This window comes from Homo sapiens, chromosome 12 (genome assembly GCF_000001405.40).
Source record: "Homo sapiens chromosome 12, GRCh38.p14 Primary Assembly".
NCBI lineage: Eukaryota > Metazoa > Chordata > Mammalia > Primates > Hominidae > Homo > Homo sapiens.
The window spans coordinates 50,281,926-50,306,410 of NC_000012.12; the positions used below are offsets into that span (position 1 = coordinate 50,281,926).

At 42.2% G+C, this 24,485-nt stretch overlaps 1 protein-coding gene, 1 long non-coding RNA gene and 1 pseudogene across 9 annotated transcripts in view, besides 1 other annotated feature; 2 read left to right on the forward strand and 1 right to left on the reverse strand.

Moving 5' to 3' along the window:
- LIMA1 (LIM domain and actin binding 1) overlaps window positions 1-1,595 on the reverse strand; it is a 107,733-nt gene extending 106,138 nt beyond the window's left edge. For all 8 annotated transcript variants that reach the window (NM_001394893.1, NM_001394892.1, NM_001394891.1 and 5 more), the window contains exon 1: window positions 1,495-1,595. The gene's annotated coding sequence lies outside the window, so the exon portion shown is untranslated. The remainder of the gene's footprint in view (window positions 1-1,494) is intronic.
- Window positions 1,506-1,815: a silencer, noted in NCBI's record as "silent region_4451". NCBI's record gives its function as "represses an Ori minimal core promoter by ATAC-STARR-seq in GM12878 lymphoblastoid cells {active_cell/tissue: GM12878}" and the evidence as "EXISTENCE:reporter gene assay evidence [ECO:0000049][PMID:35858748]".
- Window positions 1,696-14,542, forward strand: LOC107984505 (uncharacterized). Its single transcript, XR_001749144.2, has 2 exons — window positions 1,696-1,957; window positions 13,751-14,542. It is a non-coding gene; the product is annotated as an uncharacterized LOC107984505 (long non-coding RNA).
- Window positions 5,807-6,349, forward strand: LOC100418734 (KIAA1586 pseudogene; annotated as a pseudogene).
- Window positions 14,543-24,485: the final 9,943 nt, after the last annotated feature.

Below are 24,485 nucleotides of genomic sequence, written 5' to 3' on the forward strand. Positions count from 1 at the left end.
ACCCATTTGATTTTAAGTTCTTTTAGGGTAAAGACGTTTGGCACTTTGAATCTACAGTAGGACTGACATGAAAGGCACTCAATATTTTGTCCAAAGAATGAAATAAGTTCCTAAACTAATTACCTAGTACATTATATGTTGTTCTATCAATGCAAAACAAGAAAACATATATGAACACACACTTTTTTTTGCCTTCTTTCACGCCAACTCTATAATTTTTTGAAGATCTATCTAAAACGTGATCATCCTGCACCCAGGTTATACCTCTACAGGAACTTAGAACATGTTGTTAGGGGTCATGTTCTTTTGTGTCTACATCATACCTCAGAAGAAAGGATTGGTGTTATTTCATGGCTCCTGAAATATTTAGCATTTGTGAATAGTATTGGTAACCAAGCAGATAAAAGGTACTGTGTTAAACCATTTAAATCAAGAGCAAAAGAAAGAATACTTAATGCAAAAGAAAACCTCTCCCCAAAATGGGCATTGCCTTAAAAACTGATAACTCCCTAATTACCTTTGACTAACCTGAAAAGTCAAGTCAATTGAACCATCTGGATTAGGCAGATCTGGATTAGGCAGACTTATCTTTTATTTTTATTTATTTATTTATTTTTTTGTAGAGACAAGGGTCTCGCTAAGTTGCCTTGGCTGGTCTCAAACACCTGGGCTCAAGCGATCCTCCCGCCTCAGTTTCCCAAAGTGTTGGGATTATAGGCGTGAGCCACTGCGCCCGTCCAAGGCAGACTTTTGAAAGCTGGAATTAGGTGCAAGACAATAGTAGTTCAAATATCTCTCACCAGGATCAGCTAAACCGTTCTTGCAAGCATCAGTAAGGAGGCTAGGAAGGGTGCCAGATGGTTCGTTCCTAGCAGCTACAACTTCAAGCTTTAGTATGTGTAGCCAGGGGTGTACAATTACCTTACATTAACACCAACATATGTCGGGGGCAAGTGCCAGCGATATATACACGATAGCGATTCGGGGATGACACATCGGCTGCAAGGACTGCTATATTCTCAACATTCCTCAAAAGGGTGTAAGTGTCTTAAACAGAGTTCAGCTGGCGTAATGGAAGGGAGAAAAAATCGAAAAGAGAGGGAATGGCTGAAAATGAAGGAAAAAGAACAGTTGAATATTACAGTATTTCCCTGGAAGGAGGGTATTTGGAGTTTTAATGAATTGTCACCTTCCTCCACCACACCAGAAAGTATACAGTTAGAATGCAGTGTTCTCGGTGGGAGAGGACGGGGTATTTGCAGCTCCCGCCCTTGGGCAGCAAAGGCTCAGCCCGACATAAGCACTCCCCACCCAGCGCAGGCCCCAGAAGTGAGGAAAGAACGGAGGATCAGCGTCCCTCGACCCCTTATCTCGAGGGGGAGGGACTCACACTCCTTGCACTCCCCCCGCCCCAAAAGTCGAAGGAGAAAGAGGGTGTGGAGAGAAGCCGGGGTCTTCCCGCACTCTCCGGTTGTGGAGAGAGAAGGCCCTTACCTGGCTAAAAGCCGCCTTTCCTCTGCGCTGCTACCAGCCCTGTCACAGGTCCCGGCGCTCTACCTAGCGCACCTGTCGCGACCAAGCTGCTAACACCTACTGCTCCTGCGGCCCCGCCCCGGACCCCGCCCACCGCCGCGGGGGCGCGCACGCCAGACAGCCTCCCGTGCGGCCTCGGGCTGAGCGTGCGCGCCACCGGCTACGTGCCCAGCGCTCGCGTCTGCTCCAGTCGCTCTGGCGGTGCGGGGCGCTGGCGACGGGACAGGGTTTTTGCTGCCCGGGGCCTAGTCTACCTCGGCACGCTTTTCTCTGAAGGAGACACGCACTTGCACGACGTGGGCCTCTGTGCAGCTCTACTTTGTCCTTAACTCCTCTGACTCAACGTTATCGCAGTTTGACTCTGGAGCCACTCAGGTTTTTCCTAAGCTCAACTCTAGCCAGCTAGGTTCCTGGTGCTTTGGGGGTAAGTTGTGTGCAGGGAGGGTGTTTTACAGGAGGCTGTGTGGTGTAGTGGAAAAAGCTGAATTAAGTACATTAATCCTGAAAACGGTTTGACAAGGGCAGATGACGTCCAAGTTCTCCAACAGCTGTTTTTACTCCTCCATTCAGAATAGGAGCTGTGCTAATGGTTTGGAGACCGTCAATTGGCCTAGCACTTGGCCATCCTGCCCCCAAATTCTTGTCCCAGTTCCGTGCCAGCTGCATGATGCCTTTTGATAGTATCCTTCTTTCCTGTACCTCAAGCATAGTAGGGTTTCAGACCACAAGTTTTCTGAAGCTTTTCGGAATTCATGCAGCTTGATGCGTTATTAGTAGGGGCTGCTCGTGGGAAAACGCTTGTAATTACACTTCCTCAAGAAGTTAATGAAAATGTGTGAGAAGAGAGATTTCCAACAGGTGATGAATATGCCAGCCAGTTATTCCCTTCTTCCTTCAAATATCCAGCCTAGACTGATTTCTGGATAGGTATTGTAGAAATAAAAATTTCAGACAAAACAAACTTAGATTTTGAATCGGACAACAGTCAGAACCAAAAGAGGCTCAGACACCCCTGCTCTAGCTGCCCAGGCATCAAACTTTATAGGCTGAACACGAAAGTAAAGAAATTTGATTGGCTACAGCTAAGCGTTTGCCTTATTTGGGTATGGTCACATGGGAGGTCCCTAATTATATAACCACTTGGCTGGTTGTCTGTTTGTGATTGGTTGAAACTCCATTCAAAATCAGGTACAAGGGGCCGGGCGCGGTGGCTCACACCTGTAATCCCAGCACTTTGGGAGGCTGAGGCAGGCGGATCCCCTGAGGTTAGGAGTTCGAGACCAGCCTAGCCAACATGGCGAAGCACCGTCTCCACTAAAAATACAAAAATTAGCCGGACGTGGTGGTAAGTGCCTGTAATCCCAGCTACTCGGGAGGCTGAGGCACGAGAATGACTTGAACCCGGGAAGTGGAGATTGCAGTGAGCAGAGATCTCGCCACTGCACTCCAGCCTGGATGAGAGAACGAGACTCCATCTCAAAAAAACAAAACAAACAAAAGGTGCAAGGAATACCTCTAAATTTTGGGTTGCTTTCTGGGTACAAAAACAACTCCAAACTAATGGCCTGCTACTTATTTTGCATTAACAGTATCAAGTATCAAGACTCCAGCAAAAGTGGCAGACAGCATGGGAATGCTAAAGAGCATACAATATCAATACAGGATAGTACTCCAGAAAATACGTTACCCTGCATGTGGCGTTCCCTCAATAGATGTCTCCCCTCCCCCCAATTTTTTTTAGCTCTGTGCTTTAGTGGATACAAAAATTACTTGCTTTCCCAAAGCCTCCTTTTGAAGATAGAGCTAGCATTAGGTTGATTGCTAAATTTTCAGGGATTTTATGAGCCAGGTCATAAGCACAACCATTATTAGAAATCAAATTATATAAGCTACAATTAAATTATCTTAAAAATAAAAGTAATAGGCCAGGCATGTTGAGTCACATTTGTAATCCCAGTGCTTTGGGAGGCTAAGGCGGGAAGATGGCTTGAGGCTAGAAGTTTGATGTTGCAGTGAGCTATGATCACACCACTGCACTCCAGCCTGGGCAACAGAGTGAGACCCTATTTCTAAAAAAAAATTTTTAAATATAATAAATATTAAAAACTCATCACTTTGTAGTTTTTTTCTTCATTTTACTAATAATTCTGCTCTTGAGGTTATTTGTCCATTGTATTCCCTGTGGAAATACTACATATGTTGTATGCATCTCTTCCCAACTCTATTCAGAAATGTCACATTGGTAGCACGAAATTGGCTGTAAGGGGAGTATTTACACCATGGAAATGGGCAAATGCAGCAAGTCAGGGCGTGATTTATTGTTTTGTTGATTTTTCTAGACCATATGTTAGCAAACCTTTTGTGTAAACAGCCAAATAGTAAATATTTTAGGCTTTGTGGGACTTATAGTCTCTGTCACAGCTACTCAGCTCTCACTGTAGTGCCAAATGTGCCAAAGTAGCCATAGACAATACTTAAAGAATGGGCATGGGCCAGGTGCAGTGGCTCACACCTGTAATCCCAGCACTTTGGGAGGCCCAGGCAGGGATCACTTGAGGCCAGGAGTTAGAGACTAGCCTGGCCAACATGGCAAAACCCTGTCTTTACAAACAAATAAAATAAACAGACAAAAAAGCTGGGTGTGGTGGTGTGTGCCTGTAATCCCAGTTACCTGGGAGTGTGAAGTGGGAGGATGCCTTGAGCCCAGGAGTTGGAGATTGTAATGAGCCGAGATCACACCACTGCACTCCAGCCTGGGCGACAGAACAAGACCCTGTCTCAAACAAAAAACTCATAGGCCTTTATCTGATAGTGAAGGGAACAATAGAGTTGAAAGGGAAAAATGGAGTAGATACAGGCAAATGTTTACATACATGATACGGTGCAACAAGAATAGCAGAACATACTGCAAAAGAAATTATGTCAACATATTTAAGAATCTTGGAAGAGAATGGCAAATATGCACTATAATTGATGAGACATCTACATATTGGAAGAAAATTACCTAGAGATTTATCTCCAGTACACAGTTGAATAAGCTTCTGTACTGGTAAAGATATTTGTTGCTTTAAAAGAATTGGTGTCAGCTGGGCACGGTGGCTCACGCCTATAATCCCAGCACTTTGGGAGGCTGAGGTGGGCAGATCACAAGTGGGCGGATCACGAGGTCAGAAGTTCGAGACCAGCCTGGACAACATGGTGAAATCCCATCTCTACTAAAAATACAAAAATTAGCCAGGTGTAGTAGTGTGCGCCTGTAGTCCCAGCTACTCAGGAGGCTGAGGCAGGAGAATCGCTTGAACTCCAGAGACACAGGTTGCAGTGAGCAGAGATCACACCATTGCACTCCAGCCTGGGCAACAGAGCGAGACTCCATCTCCAAAAAAAAAAAAAAAAGTAATTGGTGTCTGCCACACAGATTATATTTCTACTACATTATTGTCTATTTTACTTTTTTTCTTTTGAGGCAGAGTTGTGCTCTGTCCCTCAGGCTGGAGTGCACTGGCACGATCTTGGCTCACTGCAACCTCTGCCCCCTGGGTTCAAGTGATTCTCCTGTCTCAACCAAGTAGCTGGGATTACAGGCGTGCACCACCAAGCCCAGCTAATTTTTGTATTTTTAGTAGAGACAGGGTTTCACCATGTTGGCCAGGCCGGTCTCAAACTCTTGACCTCTAGTGATCGACCAGCCTTGGCCTCCCAAAGTGCTGGGATTACAGGCGTGAACCGCCGCGCCCAGCCGATATTGTCTACTTTAAATGTGGCTTCAGTAATGAATATTTGAAATTTAATAATGAATAGTTGAAAGTAAGCTGCATTTTGTTTTAATGGTGCTTTCACAATAATGGGAAAGAAGACTGGAGTGGCCACAGATTTGTCAGAAAAATTTCCTAATGTCATCATTTGGTTCTGTTACCAATTATAATTCAGTATCTGAAATAAAACAAGTCAATCATTTAAAAATATTCTGGATAGTCTGGGCACGGTGGCTCATGCCTGTAATTCCAGCACTTTAGAAGGCCGAGGCAGGCGGATAACTTGAGGTCAGGAATTCAGAACTGGCTTGGCTAACATGGTGAAAGCCTGTCTCTACTAAAAATACAAAAATTCACTGGGCGTGGTGGTGCACGCCAGTAGTCACAGCTACTCGGGAGGCTGAGGCAGGAGAATCACTTGAACCCAGGAGGCGGAAGTTGCAGTGGACTGAGATTGTGCCACTGCACCCCAGCCTGAGACAGAGTGAGACTCCGTCTCAAGAAAAAATAACAATATTATGGATAAAATTTATTCTGTTTACCACCAACCCAAAAAAAGGAAACAGTTGGAAATTATAGCTAAATAACTTGAAACTGAAATTATTAAAATTAGCCAAGTACTTAGGTTGAGATGGGTGGACATGTACTTTACCAACCGCTAATGCTGCATGGCACACATATCCTACATTATAAATGCATTTTTCTCATTCTTTTTATTCTGGCCTAGCAACAAGATCAGCTAATATTAATTTCTTGTAATACCTTACTTTAATGATTGATATTCTTAAATAATTTTCATTACTTTCAGTTGCACTGCAGTTAAGATCAACCAACATTCAGAAAATTAAAAAATTAATAGAATGCACTATAAAAGCTTTGGAAAAATTAAAAATTGGCATTAGAAAGCATGACTCTCAAGTTGAATATTTGGTTAAGTCATCAGTTTGAAGTCATTCCATTTAATAATTTTTTTTTTGAGGCAGGGTCTCACTCTGTTGCCCAGGTTGGAGTGCTGTGGCACAATCATAGCTCATTACAACCTCACACTCCTGAACTCAAGTGATTCTCGTGCCTCTGCCTCTCAAGTAGCTGGGACGACAGGCACATGCCACTACACCTGGCTAATTTTTAAAAACTTTTGGTAGAGATGGGGTGTCACATGTTGCCTAGGCTGGTCTTGAACTCTTGGCCTCAAGCAATCTTCTCATCTTGGACTCCCAAAGCACTGGGCTTACAGGCATGAACTGCCACACCTAGTCAAAAATAGATTTAAACCTCTGCCTAAGAATGTGTTACTAAAAAGTAATGAATACATGTCTTTTATTAGAAACATCATTTTAAGTTGTTTTTATTTGTTAAAATCACCTTCTTGGACTTCTTCACTGTGGAAAATAATATCATTTAAGTGAAATTTTAAAACATGTATTTTGAATTATTTTTTCTTTTTTTTTGATATGGAGTCTCGCTCTGTCACCCAGGCTAGAGTGCAGTGGCGTGATCTCAGCTCACAGCAACCTCCACCTCCCAGGTTCAAACGATTCTCCTGCCTCAGCCTCCCAAGTAGCTGGGATTACAGGCGCCTGCCACCACGCCCAGCAATTTTTTGTATTTTTAGTAGAGACAGGGTTTCATCATGTTGGTCAGGTTGGTCTCGAACTCCTGACCGCAAGTGATGCGCCCACCTCGGCCTCCCAAAGTGCTGGGATTACAGGTGTGAGCCACCATGCCTGGCCTTGAGTTATTTTCAAGATTTTGCAAGTAATAATTTAGAATCAAACAAAATTACAATCCCTGCAATTATACAAAAAGCTAAAAAGATAGCATTATTGCAATCAATAGTGCTAAAACTGAAAGAAGTTTCATTTTAATAAGTTTGTATGAGGTTGAAAAATGGTAATGGATGAGGAATGGTAGTTTAATAGTAAATCAAATGTCACACTTAAGGACAAGAAATATGTTGGGAAAAGATTAGCAGATTGAAAACATCGAATGATGGTTGAATTGCCATCATAAATTGGCTGAGGTAGAAGAGTTTGGAAAAATTATTGAAAGCTTGTGGAATCAACTGGCTGTGTGGAATTCACAAAAAGAGTATTTTATATTTATTATTTGTAAGCTGTAAGCTACACATGCTTTATATTAGTAACATTTTTATAGATTTATATAGATAGATATAGATATGCACACATTATCTCCCCAGGGAGCTGGTTGTTTATTAGCACATTAATGAGTAGTATGTATTTTTAGGGGTAATGTGAAGCTCAAACAAGAAAATGTATGTAAAATATTTGGTATTGCTTACTACAAACTTGATAATAAATGTTAACTCTGTTCCCACTTTCCACCCTACCTGCTTTGTTCTTTCCTGAACAAGTTACTTAACTTTTCAACCATAGTTTCCTAATGGGAATTACAGGTTCATTCCTAATTGACTTTTGGGGATTCAATAAAATGGCATGTCTTACTTAGCTGACAAACTAGGAGCTTAGATTTCTGTTCCTCCTTCTTCTTTTAGTATATAAAGGTGTAATTCATTAAGCATTTGGTAAAATGAAACTTCTGCCATGTCCTTAGGAATAAACCAAAGAAAAATGTTCCAAAATTATTTATAGTTAATAATCTCATATATTGTTATTTATCTAGATCTAGTCTACTTACTGCCAAACTTTTTTTTCATTTCAGTTTATAGTTATAGTTGATCAATCAGATGTCTTTTTTTTGGTAAATATTCTTGTTTTTTATTTTGTTTTTATTCCTGGCAAGCTATGATAGATAGGTAAACATTCTTTTTTTTTTGAGACAGAGTCTCACTTTGTTACGCAGGCTGGAGTGCAGTGGCACAATCTCGGCTCAGTGCAACCTCCGCCTCCCAGGTTCAAGGGATTCTCATGCCTCAGCCTCCCAAGTAGCTGGGATTACAGGTGTGCACCACAACGCCTGGCTAATTTTTTTTGTAAAGACGGGGTTTTGGCCATTCGCAGTGGCTCACACCTGTAATCCCAGCACTTTGGGAGGCCAAGGTGGGTGGATCACCTGAGGTTGGGAGTTCAAGACCAGCCTGACCAACATGGAGAAACCCCGTCTTTACTTAAAATACAAAATTAGCCGGCCGTGGTGGTACATGCCTGTAATCTCAGCTACTCGGGAGGCTGAGGCAGGAAAATCACTTGAACCCGGGAGGCAGAGGTTGAGGTGAGCTGAGATTGCGCCATTGCACTCCAGCCTTGGCAACAGGAGCAAAACTCTGTCTCAAAAAAAAAAAAAAGAAAAAAGAAAATGGGGTTTCACCATGTCTTGAACTCCTGACCTCAAGTGACTTGCCTGCCTTGGCCTCCCAAAATGCTTTGATTACAGGCATGAGCCACCACACCTGGGCAGTAAACATTCTTGAAAAAATATTGTTTACCTTAGATTATAAACTTGAGAATCAAGATCTGTTTAACCATATTCTCTCTTCTGCTTGCCTTCCATAGTTGGAAGAATTGAGTCAACCAAAGAGTACTATCCACTTCCAAATTATTTTTTACTCTTACCAAAATATGAACTTCTAGGGGGTTTTGTTTGTTTGTTTTGAGACAGGGTCTCACTCTGTTGCCTAGGCTGGAATGCAGTGGTGTGATCGTGGCTCATTGCAGCCTCAACCTCTGAGCTCAAACAGTCCTCCCACGTCAGCCTTCTGAGTAGCTGGGACTACATAGGCACATGCCACCACATCCTACTAATTTTTGTATTTTCTGTAGAGACAGGGTTTCACCACGTGGCCCAGGCTGGTCTGAAACTCTTGAGCTCAAGTGATCCACCTGCCTTGGTCTCCCAAAGTGCTGGGATTACAGGTGTGAGCCACTGCACCCATGAGATCTCTCTTTTTTTTTATGGCTGAATAGTACTCCACTGTGTATAGGTACCACATTTTCTTTATCCCATTCATCTGTTGATGGACACTTAGGTTGCTTCCAAATCTTGGCTATTGTGAATAATAGTGCTGCAATAAACATGAGAGTGCAGACATCTCTTTGACAAAGTGATTTCCTTTCTTTTGGGTATATACCTAGGAGTGGAATTGCTGGATTGTATAGTAGCTCTATTTTTAGTTTTTTGAGGAACCTCCAAACTGTTCTCTGTTATAGTTGTACTAATTTATATTCCCACCAACAGTGTACGAGGGTTCCCTTTTCTCAACATTCTTGCCAGCATTTATAATAATAAATGCCTGTCTTTTGGATAAAAGCTATTTTAACTGGGTGAGATGATATCTCATTGTAGTTTTCATTTGCATTTCTCTGATGATCAATGAATTATGTTGATCACCTTTTCATAAACCTGTTTGCCATTTGTATGTCTTCTTTTGAGAAATGTCTGTTCGGATGTTTTGCCCATTTTTAATTGAGTTATTAGATTTTTTTTCCTATACAGTTGTTTGAGCTCCTTATATATCCTGAGAAAATATTTGCAAATATTTTTCTCCTGTTCTGTGGGTTGTCTCTTCACTTTGTTCATGGTTTCCTTTGCTATGCAGAAGCTTTTTAACTTGATGTGATCCCATTTGTCCATTTTTGCTTTGATTGCCTGTGCTTGTGGGGTATTACTCAATAAATCTTTGCCCACTTCAATGTCCTGGAGAGTTCTTCCAATGTTTTCTTTTAGTAGTTTCATAGTGTGAGGTCTTAGATTTAAGTCTTTAATCCATTTTTATTCGATTTTTGTATATGCTGAGAGGTAGGGGTTAAGTTTCATTTTTCTGCATATTGGATATCCATTTTTCCCACCACCATTTATTGAAGAGACTGTCTTTTCCCCAATATGTGTTCTTGGCACCTTTGTTGAAAATGAGTTTACTATAGATGTATAGATTTGTTTCTGGATCCTCTATTCTGTTCCATTGGTCTATGTGCCTGGTTTTATGCCAGTACCCATGCTGTTTTGGTTACTATAGTTCTGTAGTATAATTCAAGGTCAGGTAATGTGATTCTTCCACTTTTTTTTCTTTTTGCTCAGGATAGCTTTGGCTAAAATATCTAAAATATAAATTTTAGATAAATTTATATCTGAAATATAAATTTTAGATAAATTTATATCTGAAATATAAATTTTAGAATTGCTTTTTCTATTTTTGTAAAGAATGTCATTGGTATTTTGATAGCATTGCATTGAGTCTGTAGATTGCTTTGGGTAGTATGGATATTTAAACAATATTGATTCTGCCAATCCATGAACATGGAATATATTTCCATTTTTTCATGTTCTCTTCAATTTCTTGCCTCAGTGTTTTATGATTTTCACTATAGAGCTCTTTTATTTCTTTGGTTAAGTTAATTCCTGGGTATTTTGTTTTATTTGTAGCTATTGTAAATAGGATTACTTTCTTTTTTCTTTTTTTTTTTCCTGAGACGAAGTCTCGCTCTTGTCCCCAGGCTGGAGTGCAATGGCATGATCTTGGCTCACTGCAACCTTTGCCTCCCAGGTTTAAGCAGTTCTCCTGCCTCAGCCTCCTGAGTGGCTGGGATTACAAGAGTGCGCCACCACACCTGGCTAATTTTTGTATTTTTAGTAGAGACAACATTTCACCATGTTGTACTTACTCCAGCTAGGCTGGAGTAAGTACAATTTTTAAATTCTGCTTCCCTTACTTCATACTTCTATAGGTAAAAGTCATTCATTTTTAAATACAATAAATATTTATTAAGTACATACAATATGCCAGGTACAGTGTGAAGCACTGAGGATTCACTGGAGAACAAGACAGTGATTCAGTGGGATGAATAATTAAATAGGTGGAATACTTTAGATAACTGTGTTATGGTAAGGGAAATACAGGAGGCTAGTAGCCCTTAGGAGGGGTACTTATCCCAGAGTTGGGAATCAAGGATGTCTTCGTAGTAGAGGAATTGATGTCTAAATTGAATGGTAAATAGGTATTAGCAAGGCAGAGGTGTGTATCATTATGTGTGTGTGTGTGTGTTTGGTTGGCTCGCTGAAAGGTTAGATGGGGTAGGATCAACAGGGGAGAACAAAGCATTATAGGGCTATGTTTACTTTAAAAATGGGAAAATACAGTATAGCTTAAGTCTAGGTTGTAGGAGGTGGTACTTACAGATGAAGGTGAAAAGCTAAGCAGGGACTAGATCTTATAAGGCATGAAGACATGTTAAGGAGTTTGAGTTCTATCTTAGGAGAACTGGGGACCTCTTAACCCTGTGCCTTAAAGCTAAAGACTACCTATATCAGAATCACCTAGAGGTCTGGTTAAAAATGCTCATTTCTGGCTGGGCATGGTGGCTCACGCCTGTAATCCCAGCACTTTGGGAGGCCGAGGCAGGCGGGTCACAAGGTCAGGAGATCGAGACCATCGTGACTAACACGGTGAAACCCCGTCTCTACTAAAAATACAAAAAAATTAACAAGGCGTGGTGGCGGGTGCCTGTAGTCCCAGCTACTCAGGAGGCTGAGGCAGGAGAATGGCGTGAACCGGGAGGCGGAGCTTGCAGTGAGAGGAGATCGCGCCATTGCACTCCAACCTGGGTGACTGAGAGAGACTCCGTCTCAAAAAAAAAAAAAAAAAAAAAATGCTCATTTCTATTTTCTGCCCCAGATCTAAAAATCAAAATCACTGGAGTGAAGTCCCCAAATCTGTATTTTTAACAATACTTCCAAGTAATTTCTTTCTTTTTTTTTTTTTTTGAGACGGAATTTTGCTCGTCACCCATGCTGGAGTGCAATGGCTCTCAGCTCACTGCAACCTCCACCTCCCAGATTCAAGCGATTCTCCTGCCTCAGCCTCCTAAGTAGCTGGAATTACAAGAGTCCGCCACCATGCCCGGATAATTTTTGTATTTTTAGTAGAGACTGGGTTTCGCCATGTTGGCCAGGCTGGTCTCAAACTCCTGACCTCGGGTGATCTACCCCCCTTGGCCTCCCAAAATACTGGGATTACAGGCATGAGCCACCGTGCCCAGCCCCAGTTAATTTTTTTATTTTTGTAGAGATGGGGTATCAGTATGTTGTCCAGGCTGTCTTGAATTCCTGGGCTCAAGGGATCCTGCCTGGCCTCCCAGAGCACTGGGATTATAGGCATGAGCCACCACGCTCAGCCAGTTAATTCCTTTTTAATGCCAAGTAATATATTCCATTATAGGCACATATCACAATTTATCGATTCACCAGTTGATGGACATTTGGGTTGTTTCTAGTTTTAGGCTATTTATTAATAAAGCTGCTGTGAACATTTACATAACAGTCTTCATATAGACGTGTGTTTTTATTTCTCTTGGATAACTACTTAGGAGTGGGATTGCTGGGTTGTATAGTAATGTACATTTAACTTTTTAAAATACTGCCAAATTTTTCCAAAGGTGGTGTACTATTTTGCATTCCCGCCAGCAATGCATGAGAGTTCTAGTTGTTCCCCATCCTCTAATGTACTTGATCTTGCTGGTCTTTTAAGTGTCAGCCATTCTATTGGGTGCCGTGATAGCCCATTGTGGTTAATTTTCATTTCACAAATAACCAATGATGTTGTACATCTTTTCATATGCTTATTTGCTTTTATATTTTATTTAGTGGAGTATTTGTTCAATTTTTTTGCCCATTTATTAATTGGGTTATTTGTCTTATTATAGAGTTGAAAATATTGTCCATATAGCCTGGATACAAGGCCTTTATCAGATACATGCTTTGAAAGTGTTTTCTCCCAGTCTGTAGCTTATTTCTTAATTTTTCTTTTCTTTCTTTTTTTTTTTTTTTCAGATGGAGTTTCACTCTTGTCGCCCAGGCTGGTGCAATGGCACGATCTCGGCTCACTGCAACCTCCACCTCCCAGGTTCAAGTGATTCTCCTGCCTCAGCCTCCCTAGGGATTACAGGCATGGGATTACAGGCATGTGCCACCACGCCTGGTTAATTTTGTATTTTTAGTAGAGATGGGGTTTCTCCATGTTGGTCAGGCTGGTCTCGAACTCCCGATCTCAGGTGATCTGCCTGCCTCAGCCTCCCAAAGTGCTGGGATTACAGGCGTGAGCCACCATGCCCGGCAACAGTGTGTTTCAAAAAGCAGTTTAGGCTGGGCGTGGAGGCTCACGCCTGTAATCCCAGCACTTTGGGAGGCCAAGGCAGGTGGATCACCTGAGGTCATGAGTTCCAGACCAGCCTGGCCAACATGGTGAAACCCCATCTCTACTAAAAATACAAAAAATTAGCCAGGCTTAGTGGTCTGCGTCTGTAATCCCAGCTACCCGGGAGGCTGAGGCAGGAGAATCGCTTGAACCCGGGAATTGCAGGTTGCGGTGAGCCGAGCTTGTGCCACTGCACTCCATCCTGGGCAACAGAGTAAAACTCCATCTAAAAAAAAAAAAAAAAGCAGAAGTTTAAAATTTTCAAGTACAAATTACCAAATTTTTTTTTATGGCTTGTGCTTTTTGCATCCTGTTTTATTTTATTTTTAAGACATGGTCTCATTCTGTTGCCCAGGCTGGAGTGCAGTGGTATGATCATGGCTCACTGCAGCCTCAACTACCCAGACTCAAGCAATCCTCCTACCTCAGCCCGCCAAGTAACTGGGACTACTGGTGCACACCATGACGCCCAGGTAATTTTTGTATTTTTCTATAGAGCCTCCCAAAGTGCTGGGATTACAGCATCCTACCTAGGAAGTCTTTTTCTTGTCCAGGTGTGGTGGCTCATGCCTATAAGCCCAGCACTTTGGAAGGCTGAGGTGGGCAGATCACTTGAGGCCAGGTATTTGAGACCAGCCTGGCCAACATGGTGAAACCTCATCTCTACTAAAAATACAAAAAAAATAGCTGGGTGTGGTGGCACGTGCCTGTAATCCCAGCTACTCGGGAGGCTGAGGCAAGAGAATCGCTGGGACCTGGGAGGCGGAAGTTGCGGTGAGCCGGGATCGCTCCAGTGCACTCCAGCCTGGGTGATGGAGGGAGACCGTCTCAAAAGAAAAGAACAGAAATATTTGTCTAACCCAAGGCCCCAGAGATTTTCTCCTATGTTTTATAGATTTAGAAGTTTTATAGTTTTAGCTCTAACCTATAGTTAAGGGTCAGAGTTTTTCCATGTGAATATCCAGTTGTTCCAGCACTATTATTGAAAAGTCTATCTTTTCCCCCATTGAATTACATTGGCTGCTTTGTTGAAAGTTAAATAAATATATTTGTGTGGGTCCATTTTTGGAAATTCTGTTCTATTCCATTTTACTATATGTCTATGATAATCTTTTTAATAAAGAAAACTATTTTACTTTGGTGAAAAGAACTCTGAAGTTATTTTTAGGTATTATGAAAAAAGGCTGAATCTTTTTTTTTTTTTTTTTTTTTGAGATGGGGTCTCATTTTGTCACCCAGGCTGGAGTGCAGTGGCACAATCTTGGCTCACTGCAGCCTCTGCCTCCTGGGTTCAAGGAATTTTCCTGTCTCAGCCTCCTGCGTAGCTGGTATTACAGGCATGTGCCACCATGCCTGGCTCATTTTTTATTTTTAGCAAAGGTGAGGTTTCACCATGTTGGCCAGGCTGGTCTTGAACTCCTGACCTCAGGTGATCTGCCCGCCTCAGCCTCCCAAAGTACTAGGGTGACAAGCTAGAGACACTGCGCCCGGCCAGGCTGAATGTTATACGTGTGAACAATTGGCATTCTTCCCAAACATCTCTTACTCTAACCGGAAATATATGTGTATATTAAAGGTATTTTCTGTAACTAATTTCTAGGATAGTAAGTTATCATTGTATTGAATGTGCATTTTTATGCGTAAGAAGTAATTAGGCATTCTTTGCCTGAGCTTCATTTTTCTCCAAATATAAAAAAGGGAGTAAAATAAACTCATCATGTGGAAATCTTTAAAATAACCAAAACCAGGTTCTATTAAAGAATAATGAAAAAATATATAGAACATTTCAAAGGGTAAACCAGAATAAATTCTGTTCTTTGGGAACAACAGTTAGCCACATAAATACCACAAATCAAGGAAGGGGATTTCCTGACTTCCGCTTCCAAGCAATTCCAATAAATGAAGGAGGAAGTTATTTTCCTTTTTAAAAAACTTACTGTTGGCAGGATTAGTGTACTTCCTTTCACTCTTTTAGGATGTTAAACGCACATACACGAATATTCCTGTACTTCATAAACCTTTGGGATTTTGTCAGGTTCTGAGTATGCAGATTTTTTATTTATTTTTTTTTTGAGATGGAGTCTTGCTCTGTCATCCAGGCTGGAGTGCAGTGGCACGATCTCGGCTCACTGCAACCTCCGCCTCCCAGGTTCAGGTGATCCTCCTGCCTCAGCCTCCTGGGTAGCTGGGATTACAGGCATGCACTACCATGCCTGGCTAATTTTTGTATTTTTGGTAGAGACATGGTTTCACCATGTTGGCCAGGTTAGTCTGGAACTCCAACCTCAAGTGATCCTCTGGCTTCAGCCTCCCAAAGTGCTGGGATTACAGGTGGGAGCCATGGTGCCCAGGTCAGAAGGTTAAATTGTTTCAGTAAAAAGTCATTCTGTTGTGGAAATGTTACAAATGCATTGCTAAAAGGGAGAGAAACATCCAGGCGTAAACACTTATTGTCAGGGATCCCTTATCCTGGTGGAATAAGCATAAACTTTGGAGTCAGAATTAATTTGCATTCTCTTTTACTTATTATGAGTCAGGGGACAAGTTTCTTAGCTTCTCTAAGCCTCAGCTTCTTCCTTTGCAATAATAACACTTGGCTGACAGTGTTATCATGAGGATTAAATTAAATGACATCTAGTATTCTGCTTGGCCTAGAGTACACACTCAGTAAAACTGATCCCTTTCTCACTTCTCCCAGGCTTAGAAGTTTTCTGGAGGTAAATTGCATAGCCCACAGCTGAAGTTGATCTCTTGGTTCTTCCTCATTCTTTTTTAGTAACAGAATGATAGAAGTTTGAAAAGTACTGGAGGACAGGAGAACACCTGAGCTCAGGGATCAGACTCTAGGATAAGAAACTAGTTCAGCAGGAAGTGTGCACTGTCAGCCTCTTAAGGATCATATGCTCAAGGTGTCCAATCCCATCGCACATGTTTAATACCTCAAATGTCACTTGATGGTAGAAGACTCTCTAGGGAACTCTGAGAACAGTACCCAGCTGTAGTGGAAGGCTCACCTGAGAGCACCTTTTAGTCTTTCTCTATCCTTCTTTGTCCTCATGTAATTTAATTATGTCCTTTCTTGCTGCAGCTTTTAAATTCAAAGACCTTTGTTATTAGTGTCTGTCACCTTAAATTACCAGATTTGGGCTCTCTTCACTTCCTCCCACCCTTATCCTGTGAAACAGACAGTGGTACTGCCTAATTTGTTTCTGGTTGTTCCTCCCATCTCCCCAACACACCTGACATTTAACAATTAATTTTATTCCAAAAAGCAGAAAAAACATTTTCCAAATGCCCTAGCTATTTATTGAGAAGCTCTCCACATCCATATTAGCAAATAACAGATTTTCAGTTATGTGTGCAAATATCTCAATGTACTTTAGGGATCATACAGAATAATGGTCAATTTTTATATTCAGAATATTGGCCAAAACATAAAATAGTCTCAATTGGACTGGTCATACTAATTTATAGTTATATCTGTATCAGTATTCCCATATTATTGAAGAACAAAATGAAGATTAGACTTTTATATACTGTTTATGTACTATATGCTATATACTGTTTATGCCCTGAGAATATAAAAAGTACAATATTTGGACCTTATACCTAAGTTTCAAGGAAGGCAAGCTAGTGTTAGAACTTAAAGTTCCTAATTCTGTTTTTCATTTTGTTTTGTTTTGAGATGGAGTCTCACTCTGTTGCCCAGGCTGGAGTGCAAATGGCACAATCTTGGCTCACTGCAACCTCCGCCTCCCGGGTTCAAGCGATTCTCCCACCTCAGCCTCTTGAGTAGCTGGGATTACAGGCACCCACCTCGGCTAACTTTTTTTGTATTTTTGTAGAGATGGGGTTTCACCATGTTGGTCAGGCTGATCTCGAACTCCTGAACTCAGGTGATCCCCCCCACCCCCACCCCCACCCCTCCCCGCCTCGGCTTCCCAAAGTGCTGGGATTACAGGCATGAGCCACCGCACCCAGTCCCTAATTCTGTTTTTTTGCATGGACAAATATTTTGTCCTATAGTGCATTGGATCTATCTCAAGCATAAAAATGCACAGAACTGTTTCTCTGATTCTATATAAATAAAATATATTCATTTGTATGTATGTACATCCACCTTACACTATAACACCTAACAATATTTAATTGGCCAAGCCTGGTGGCTCATGCCTGTAATCCCAGCACTTTGGGAGGCTGAGGCAGGTGGATCGCTTGAACCCAGGTATTTGAGACCAGTCTTGACAACACGGCGAAACCCCGTCTGTATAAAAAATACAAAAATTAGCTGGGTGTGGTGATGCACACCTGTAGTCCTAGCTACTCAGGAGGCTGAGGTAGGAGGATAGATTGAGCCGGGCAGGTCCAGGCTGCAGTGAGGCGTGATTGTGCCACTGCACTCCAGCCTGGGCGAGAGAACAAGACCCTATCTCAAAAAATAAAAATAAATAAATAGATAATATTTCCTTGATTGGTTGATTTCCAAAAGCTCTTTCTTTATGGGCTTCTTTTGTTCAGGCATAAATTTGAGCCTGATCAGATGTGTAGTATAAACTTTTTTACACTTTCTGTTACAGTGTCATGCAGGTGCTGCACCACTGAGAGCAGAACACTCAGATTTTTTTTTTTTTTTTTTTTTGAGATGGAGTCTTGCTCTGTCACCCAGGCTGGAGTACAGTGGCGCGATCTCAGCTCACTGCAAGCTCCGTCTCCCGGGTTCACACCATTCTCCTGCCTCAGCCTCCTGAGTAGCTGGGACTACAGGTGCCCGCCACCACGCCCGGCTAATTTTTTATATTTTTCAGTAGAGACGGTGTTTCACCATGTTAGCCAGGATGGTCTCGATCTCCTGACCTCGTGATCCTCCCACCTCGGCCTCCCAAAGTGCTGGGATTACAGGTGTGAGCCACCGCACCTGGCCACACTCAGATGTTAATACTGTTTCTGGAAAGACTTCTTGTTAAGGAAATACTTAAATGTCTTCATTGATCAAGCCATTGTTAAAAGGATATTCTGCTATATGTTACTGAAAGCAACATTAAAAGCAATTTTGTTTGCAGTTAAAGCACCTGACTTTATTTAGGTGTTCGTTCAGGTTTTCAAAGATCTGATTATTTAAGTCTTATATAAAATTTTCTGGAACAGAAAAAGTAGAAATATTCTCCAGCTCTTTCTATAAAGTTGTGATAACTTGAAACCAAACCATCAGTGTGGCGATTCCTCAGGGATCTAGAACTAGAAATACCATTTGACCCAGCAATCCCATTACTGGGTATATACCCAAGGGATTATAAATCATGCTGCTATAAAGACACATGCACACGTATGTTTATTGCGGCACTATTCACAATAGCAAAGACTTGGAACCAACCCAAATGTCCAACAACGATAGACTGGATTAAGAAAATGTGGCACATATACACTATAGAATACTATGCAGCCATAAAAAATGATGAGTTCATGTTCTTTGTAGGGACATGGATGAAGCTGGAAACCATCATTCTCAGCAAACTGTTGCAAGGACAAAAAAACCAAACACCACATGTTCTCACTCATAAGTGGGAATTGAACAATGAGAACACATGGACACAGGAAGGGGAACATCACACACCAGGGCCTGTTGTGGGGTAGGGGGAGGGGGGAGGGATAGCATTTGGAGATATACCTAATGTTAAATGACGAGTTACTGGGTGCAGCACACCAACATGGCACATGTATACATATGTAACTAACCTGCACGTTGTGCACATGTACCCTAGAACTTAAAGTATAATAATAATAAAAAAAAAAAGAAACCAAACCAAACAGGGAGAAAAAGAAAATGAAAGGCCAGTTTCACTCATTATCATAGATACATCAATTCTAAATAAATTGTTATGGTGAGTGTGCTTGGAAATAAAAATAAATAAATAAATAGTAAACTGAATCCAGCAGTATATTAAATAGATAATATGTATGCATGATCTAGGTGGATTTATTCCAGAATATAAGAGTGGTTTCACATTAAAAAACAAAACCAAAAAAGTATCAATGTTAAGTTGCCTATTAACAGATGGGGGTATCATCATCTCTAAAGATGTAGAACAAGCATTTGAATTTATCACCCATTCATGATAAAAGCTTAGCAAACTAAAAAGGAAAATTTCCTAATTTGTTAAGGGGAATCTACAAAAAACTTAAATTGAACATCATTCATAACATTAAACTTTAGAAAATTTTATCTAAAACTAGGAAAATATAGGGATGTCCACTATAATTACTGCTTCTATCAGCATTTTACAGGAAATTCTAGACAGGGCAGTAAGTCAATACAAAGAAATAAAAGATATAAGAACTAAAAAGGAAGAAACATTGACAGAGAATATGCTTGTCTTTGTGGAAAGCTCCAAATTATATAACCGTAAATTATTAGAAATAGTAATTGCACTTAACAAGGAAGCTGGGTTTACGATCAACATACAAGGCCGGGCACAGTGGCTCACGCCTGTAACCCCAGCACTTTGGGAGGCCGAGGCAGGTGGATCACCTGAGGTCAGGAGTTCGAGACCAGTCTGGCCAACATGGTGAAACCTGTCTCTACTAAAAATACAAAAATTAGCTGGGCGTGGTGGCAGGCACCTGCAATCCCAGCCACTCAGGAGGCTGAGGCAGGAGAATTGCTTGAATCTGGGAGGTGGAGGTTGCAGTGAGCCGAAATTGTGCCACTGCACTCCAGCCTGGGCGACAAGAGCAAGACTCCATCTTAAAAAAAAAAAAAAAAAAAAAACAAGGAGGCTGGGTTTAAGATTAACATACAAGGCCGGGCATGGTGGCTCATGCCGGTAATATATATATATTTTAGATGAGACCTTGCTCTATCACCCAGGCTGGAGTGCTATGGCACAATCATGCTCCACTGCAGCCTCAACCTGCTGGGCTCAAGCAGTCCTCCCCCTTCAGACTCTCGTGTGGCTGGGACTCCAGTGATGCGCCACCATACTTCAAAATATTCTATCTTGGTAAAGAAACTGGGAAAAGTAGAGTGAAAATAGCTAAAAGTTTTAGGTATTGTAGTTGTCAAAAACATCGTTAACATTTTCCAGATCCTAACATTAAAAGAACACCACCGAGCTAGGTCCATTGGGTAAGAGGACTACGTGGAACACTGAACCATGTTAAAGAATGTTGGCGGCCAGGCACGGTGGCTCACGCCTGTAATCCCAGCACTTTGGGAGGCCGAGGTGGGCAGATCACCTGAGGTCAGGAGTTTGAAACCAGCCTGGCCAACATGGTGAAACCCCATCTGTACTAAAAATACAGAAATTAGCCAGGCATGTTGGCAGGTGCCTGTAATCCCAGCTACTCAGAAGGCTGAGGCAGGAGAATCGCTTGAACCTGGTAGGTAGAGGCTGTAGTGAGCCAAGATTGAGCCATTGCATTCCAGCCTGGGCAGCAAGAGTGAAATTCCGTCTCAAAAAAAAAAAAAAAAAAAAAAAAGGATGCTTTGGAATGAAAATGTACAATGCCTTCCCAAGGAGTGAGAAAAGGTCAGCAGTCTCATCCCGGCCACATCCTTGTGGCAACTGACCTCATCTGGAAAGCAAACTGTTTATTCCACTCATTTAAATGTGATGGAAGTTCATGACAATTGAGCTCTGGGAGCTGGTTCTAAAAGAGTCATCCACAGATTCTTTACCCTGAAAGGAATCCCAGATGTGTTCAGTTTATCTCCTTTCATTGGGAGATTTTTTTCATTAGATTTATTAGGGAAGTATAGTATTGTGCTTTAGGGTTGCTTAATTTGTTTTTGTTTTCGTAATTAATAGACAATGTCAGGAGCTGCTAAACCTGGGTTTTTGTATAGCAGGTGAATAGAATTAGAACCATGGCCAGGCGCAGTGTCTTACACCTGTAATCCCAGCACGTTGGGAGCCTGAGGCAGATGGACTGCTTGAATCAAGGAGTTCGAGATCAGCCTGGGCACATGGCAAAACCCCAACTCTACAAAAAAATGCAAAAAGTAGGCAGGGGTGGTGGCACATGCCTGTAGTCCCATCTACTTAGGAAGCTGAGGCAGAAGGATCATTTGAGACTAGAATATGGAGCCTGCAGTTAGCTGAGGTCGTGCCGCCATTGCACTCTGGCCTGATGACAGTAAGACCCTGTCTCAAAAAAAAGAAAAATAATTAAAACTATGAACTTTAATTAGTTCATTTACATAGCAGAATTGGGAGCCAAGGCTTTGGTTTCAGCACTCTTGTAATTATAAATTACTACTTGAAATAAAAGCTGACCATATTTTAAAAATATTTATTTCTGTTAGGCAGTTCTCTTTTTTTTTTTTTTTTGAGACAGAGTGGTGTGATCTCGGCTCACTGCAACCTCTGTCTCCCAGATTCAAGCAATTCTCCTGCCTCAGCTTCCTGAGTAGCTGGGATTATAGGCACTTACCACCACACCAAGCTAATTTTTGTGTTTTTAGTAGAGATGGTTTCGCCGTGTTGGCCAGGCTGGTCTTGAACTCTTGACTTCAAGTGATCCACCCACTTTGGCCTCCCAAAGTGTTGGGATTACAGGCATGAGCCACCACGCCAGGCCAGACAGTTCATTCACTGAGTAGCTAAAGTAGATAAAAGAAGAAAAGATATCGTTTCCTTTTTTTTTGAGACGGGGACTTGCTCTGTCACCCAGGTTGGAGTGCAGTGGCGCGATCTCAGCTCACTGCAAGCTCCGCCTCCTGGGTTCACTCCATTCTCCTGCCTCAGCCTCCTGAGTAGCTGGGACTACAAGCACCCACTACCACACCCGGCTAATTTTTTTGTATTTTTTAGTAGAGACGGGGTTTCACCGCGTTAGCCAGGATGGTCTCGATCTCCTGACCTTGTGATCCACCCTCCTCGGCTCCCAAAGTGCTGGGATTACAGGCGCAAGCCACCGCACCTGGCCCCGATGTTGTCTTCTATAAGTAACTTTCATCCTAGTTGGAGATAATCACCACATACTTGCAAGAAAGACTTTATCCTTATCCTCTTGTTCTGTCTTCTGCTTGAGGCTTTGGATAAAGGCAAAGCCCTTTTAAGCCCAAGCAGGACAAAGTCCAAATCTGAAAATTGCACTATCCTCCAAAGGTCTTTACCTTCCAATGAGTCAGATAATTTTGGATCATTCCCATTAATGAGTCATGCTGACCAAATGTAGTTTTTGTGTATTTCTTGCTACAACTTTTAAATATTCCCTTCCTTCCCTTTCTACATTTGTTGAGTGACTACTGTGGAAACAAGACTCAGAAAGTTAACAGGCTCTTGTATAAAAGTATTTTAGTAATTTAACAAACTAGTGTTGCTGGGCGCGGTGGCTCATGCCTGTAATCCCAGCACTTTGGGAGGCCAAGGTGGGCGGATCACCTGAGGTCAGGAGTTCGAGACCAGTCTGGCCAACATGGAGAAACCCCATCTCTACTAAAAATACAAAAAATTAGCTGGGCATGCTGGCAGGTGCCTGTAATCCCAGCTACTCAAGAGGCTGAGGCAGGAGAATCGCTTGAACCTGGGAGGTGGAGGTTGCAGTGAGCCGAGATCATGCCATTGTACTCCAGCCTGGGTGACAAAAGCAAGACTCCGTCTCAAAAAAAAAAAAAAAAGAAAAGAAAAGAAACTAGTGTTATCTGAGCATTGACAGCAAACTATATACTCAAGGATCAATTTTCTGTTTTAATAAAAAATCCAAATTTTTACTTTTAGTATACCATCTGTGATGGTTTTAAAACCACAAATTCCAGGCCGGGTGCGGTGGCTCACGTCTGTAATCCTAGCACTTTGGGAGTCTGACGTGGGTGGATCACGAGGTCAGGAGTTCTAGACCAGCCTGGGCAATATGGTGAAAACCCATATCTACTAAAAAATACAAAAATTAGCCAGGCATGGTGGCTCACACCTGTAATCCCCGCTACTCAGGAGGTTTAGGCAGGAGAATCACTTGAACCCGAGAGGCAGAGGTTACAGTAGTGAGTCAAGATCACACCACTGTATTCCAGCCTGGGCAACAAGAGTGAAACCCCATCTCAAAAAAAAAAAAAAAAACCCACAAATTTTTTGATGCTTCTCCCTATAAAATGTGAAACGCCCCTCCCCTTGAACATGGGTGGGGTTTATGGATTTTCTTTTTTTTCTTTTTCTTTTTTGAGATGGAGCTTCGCTCTTGTTGCCCAGGCTGGAGTGCTATGGCGCCATCTCGGCCCACTGCAACCTCTGCCTCCCGGGTTCGAGCAATTCTTCCGCCTCAGCCTACAGAGTAACTGGGATTACAGGCACCCGCCACCATGCCCAGCTAATTATTTTTGTATTTTTAGTAGAGGCAGGGTTTCACCATGTTGATCAGGCTGGTCTCAAACTCCTGACCTCAGGTGATCCACCCGCCTCAGCCTCCCAAAGTGTTGGGATTACAGGCGTGAGCCACCGTGCCCGGCCTGGACTTTCTTCTGAGTAAAAATGACAGTATGTCACTTTTTTTTTTCTTTTCATGGCTCATTGCAGCCTCAACCTTCCAGGCTCAAGTGATTCTCCCACCTCAGCTTCCTGAGTAGCTGGAACCACAGGCAAATGCCACCATGCCCAGCTAATTTTTTTTTTTCAGGGATACGGTCTCACTATGTTGCCCAGGCTGGTCTTGAGTGCCTGGGCTCAAGGGATTCTCCTGCCTCGACCTTCCAAAGTGCTGGGATTACAGGTGTAAGCCACTGCGCCTGGCCTGACAGTGTGTCACTTCTAAGACTAGGTCATATAAAGGCATTGTGGCTTCATCCTTCCTCTCTTGGACCATTTATTGTGGATGAAACCAGTCATCATGTCATAAGGATACTCAAGAAACTTTATGAAGAGGTCCCTGTGGCCTCTAGCTAAGAACTATGTGAGTGAGCTAATTTGAAGGCAGATCCTCCAACCTCTTCCCCTACCCTCTACCAAGCTTTTGGACGACTGCAACCCCAGCCAACATCTTGACTCCAATGTCATGAAAGACCCTGAGCCAGAACCTGCCAGCTAAACTGCTGCTAAATCCTGACCCACAGAAATTATGAGATGTATGTATGTTGTTTTAAGCTACTAAATTTTGGA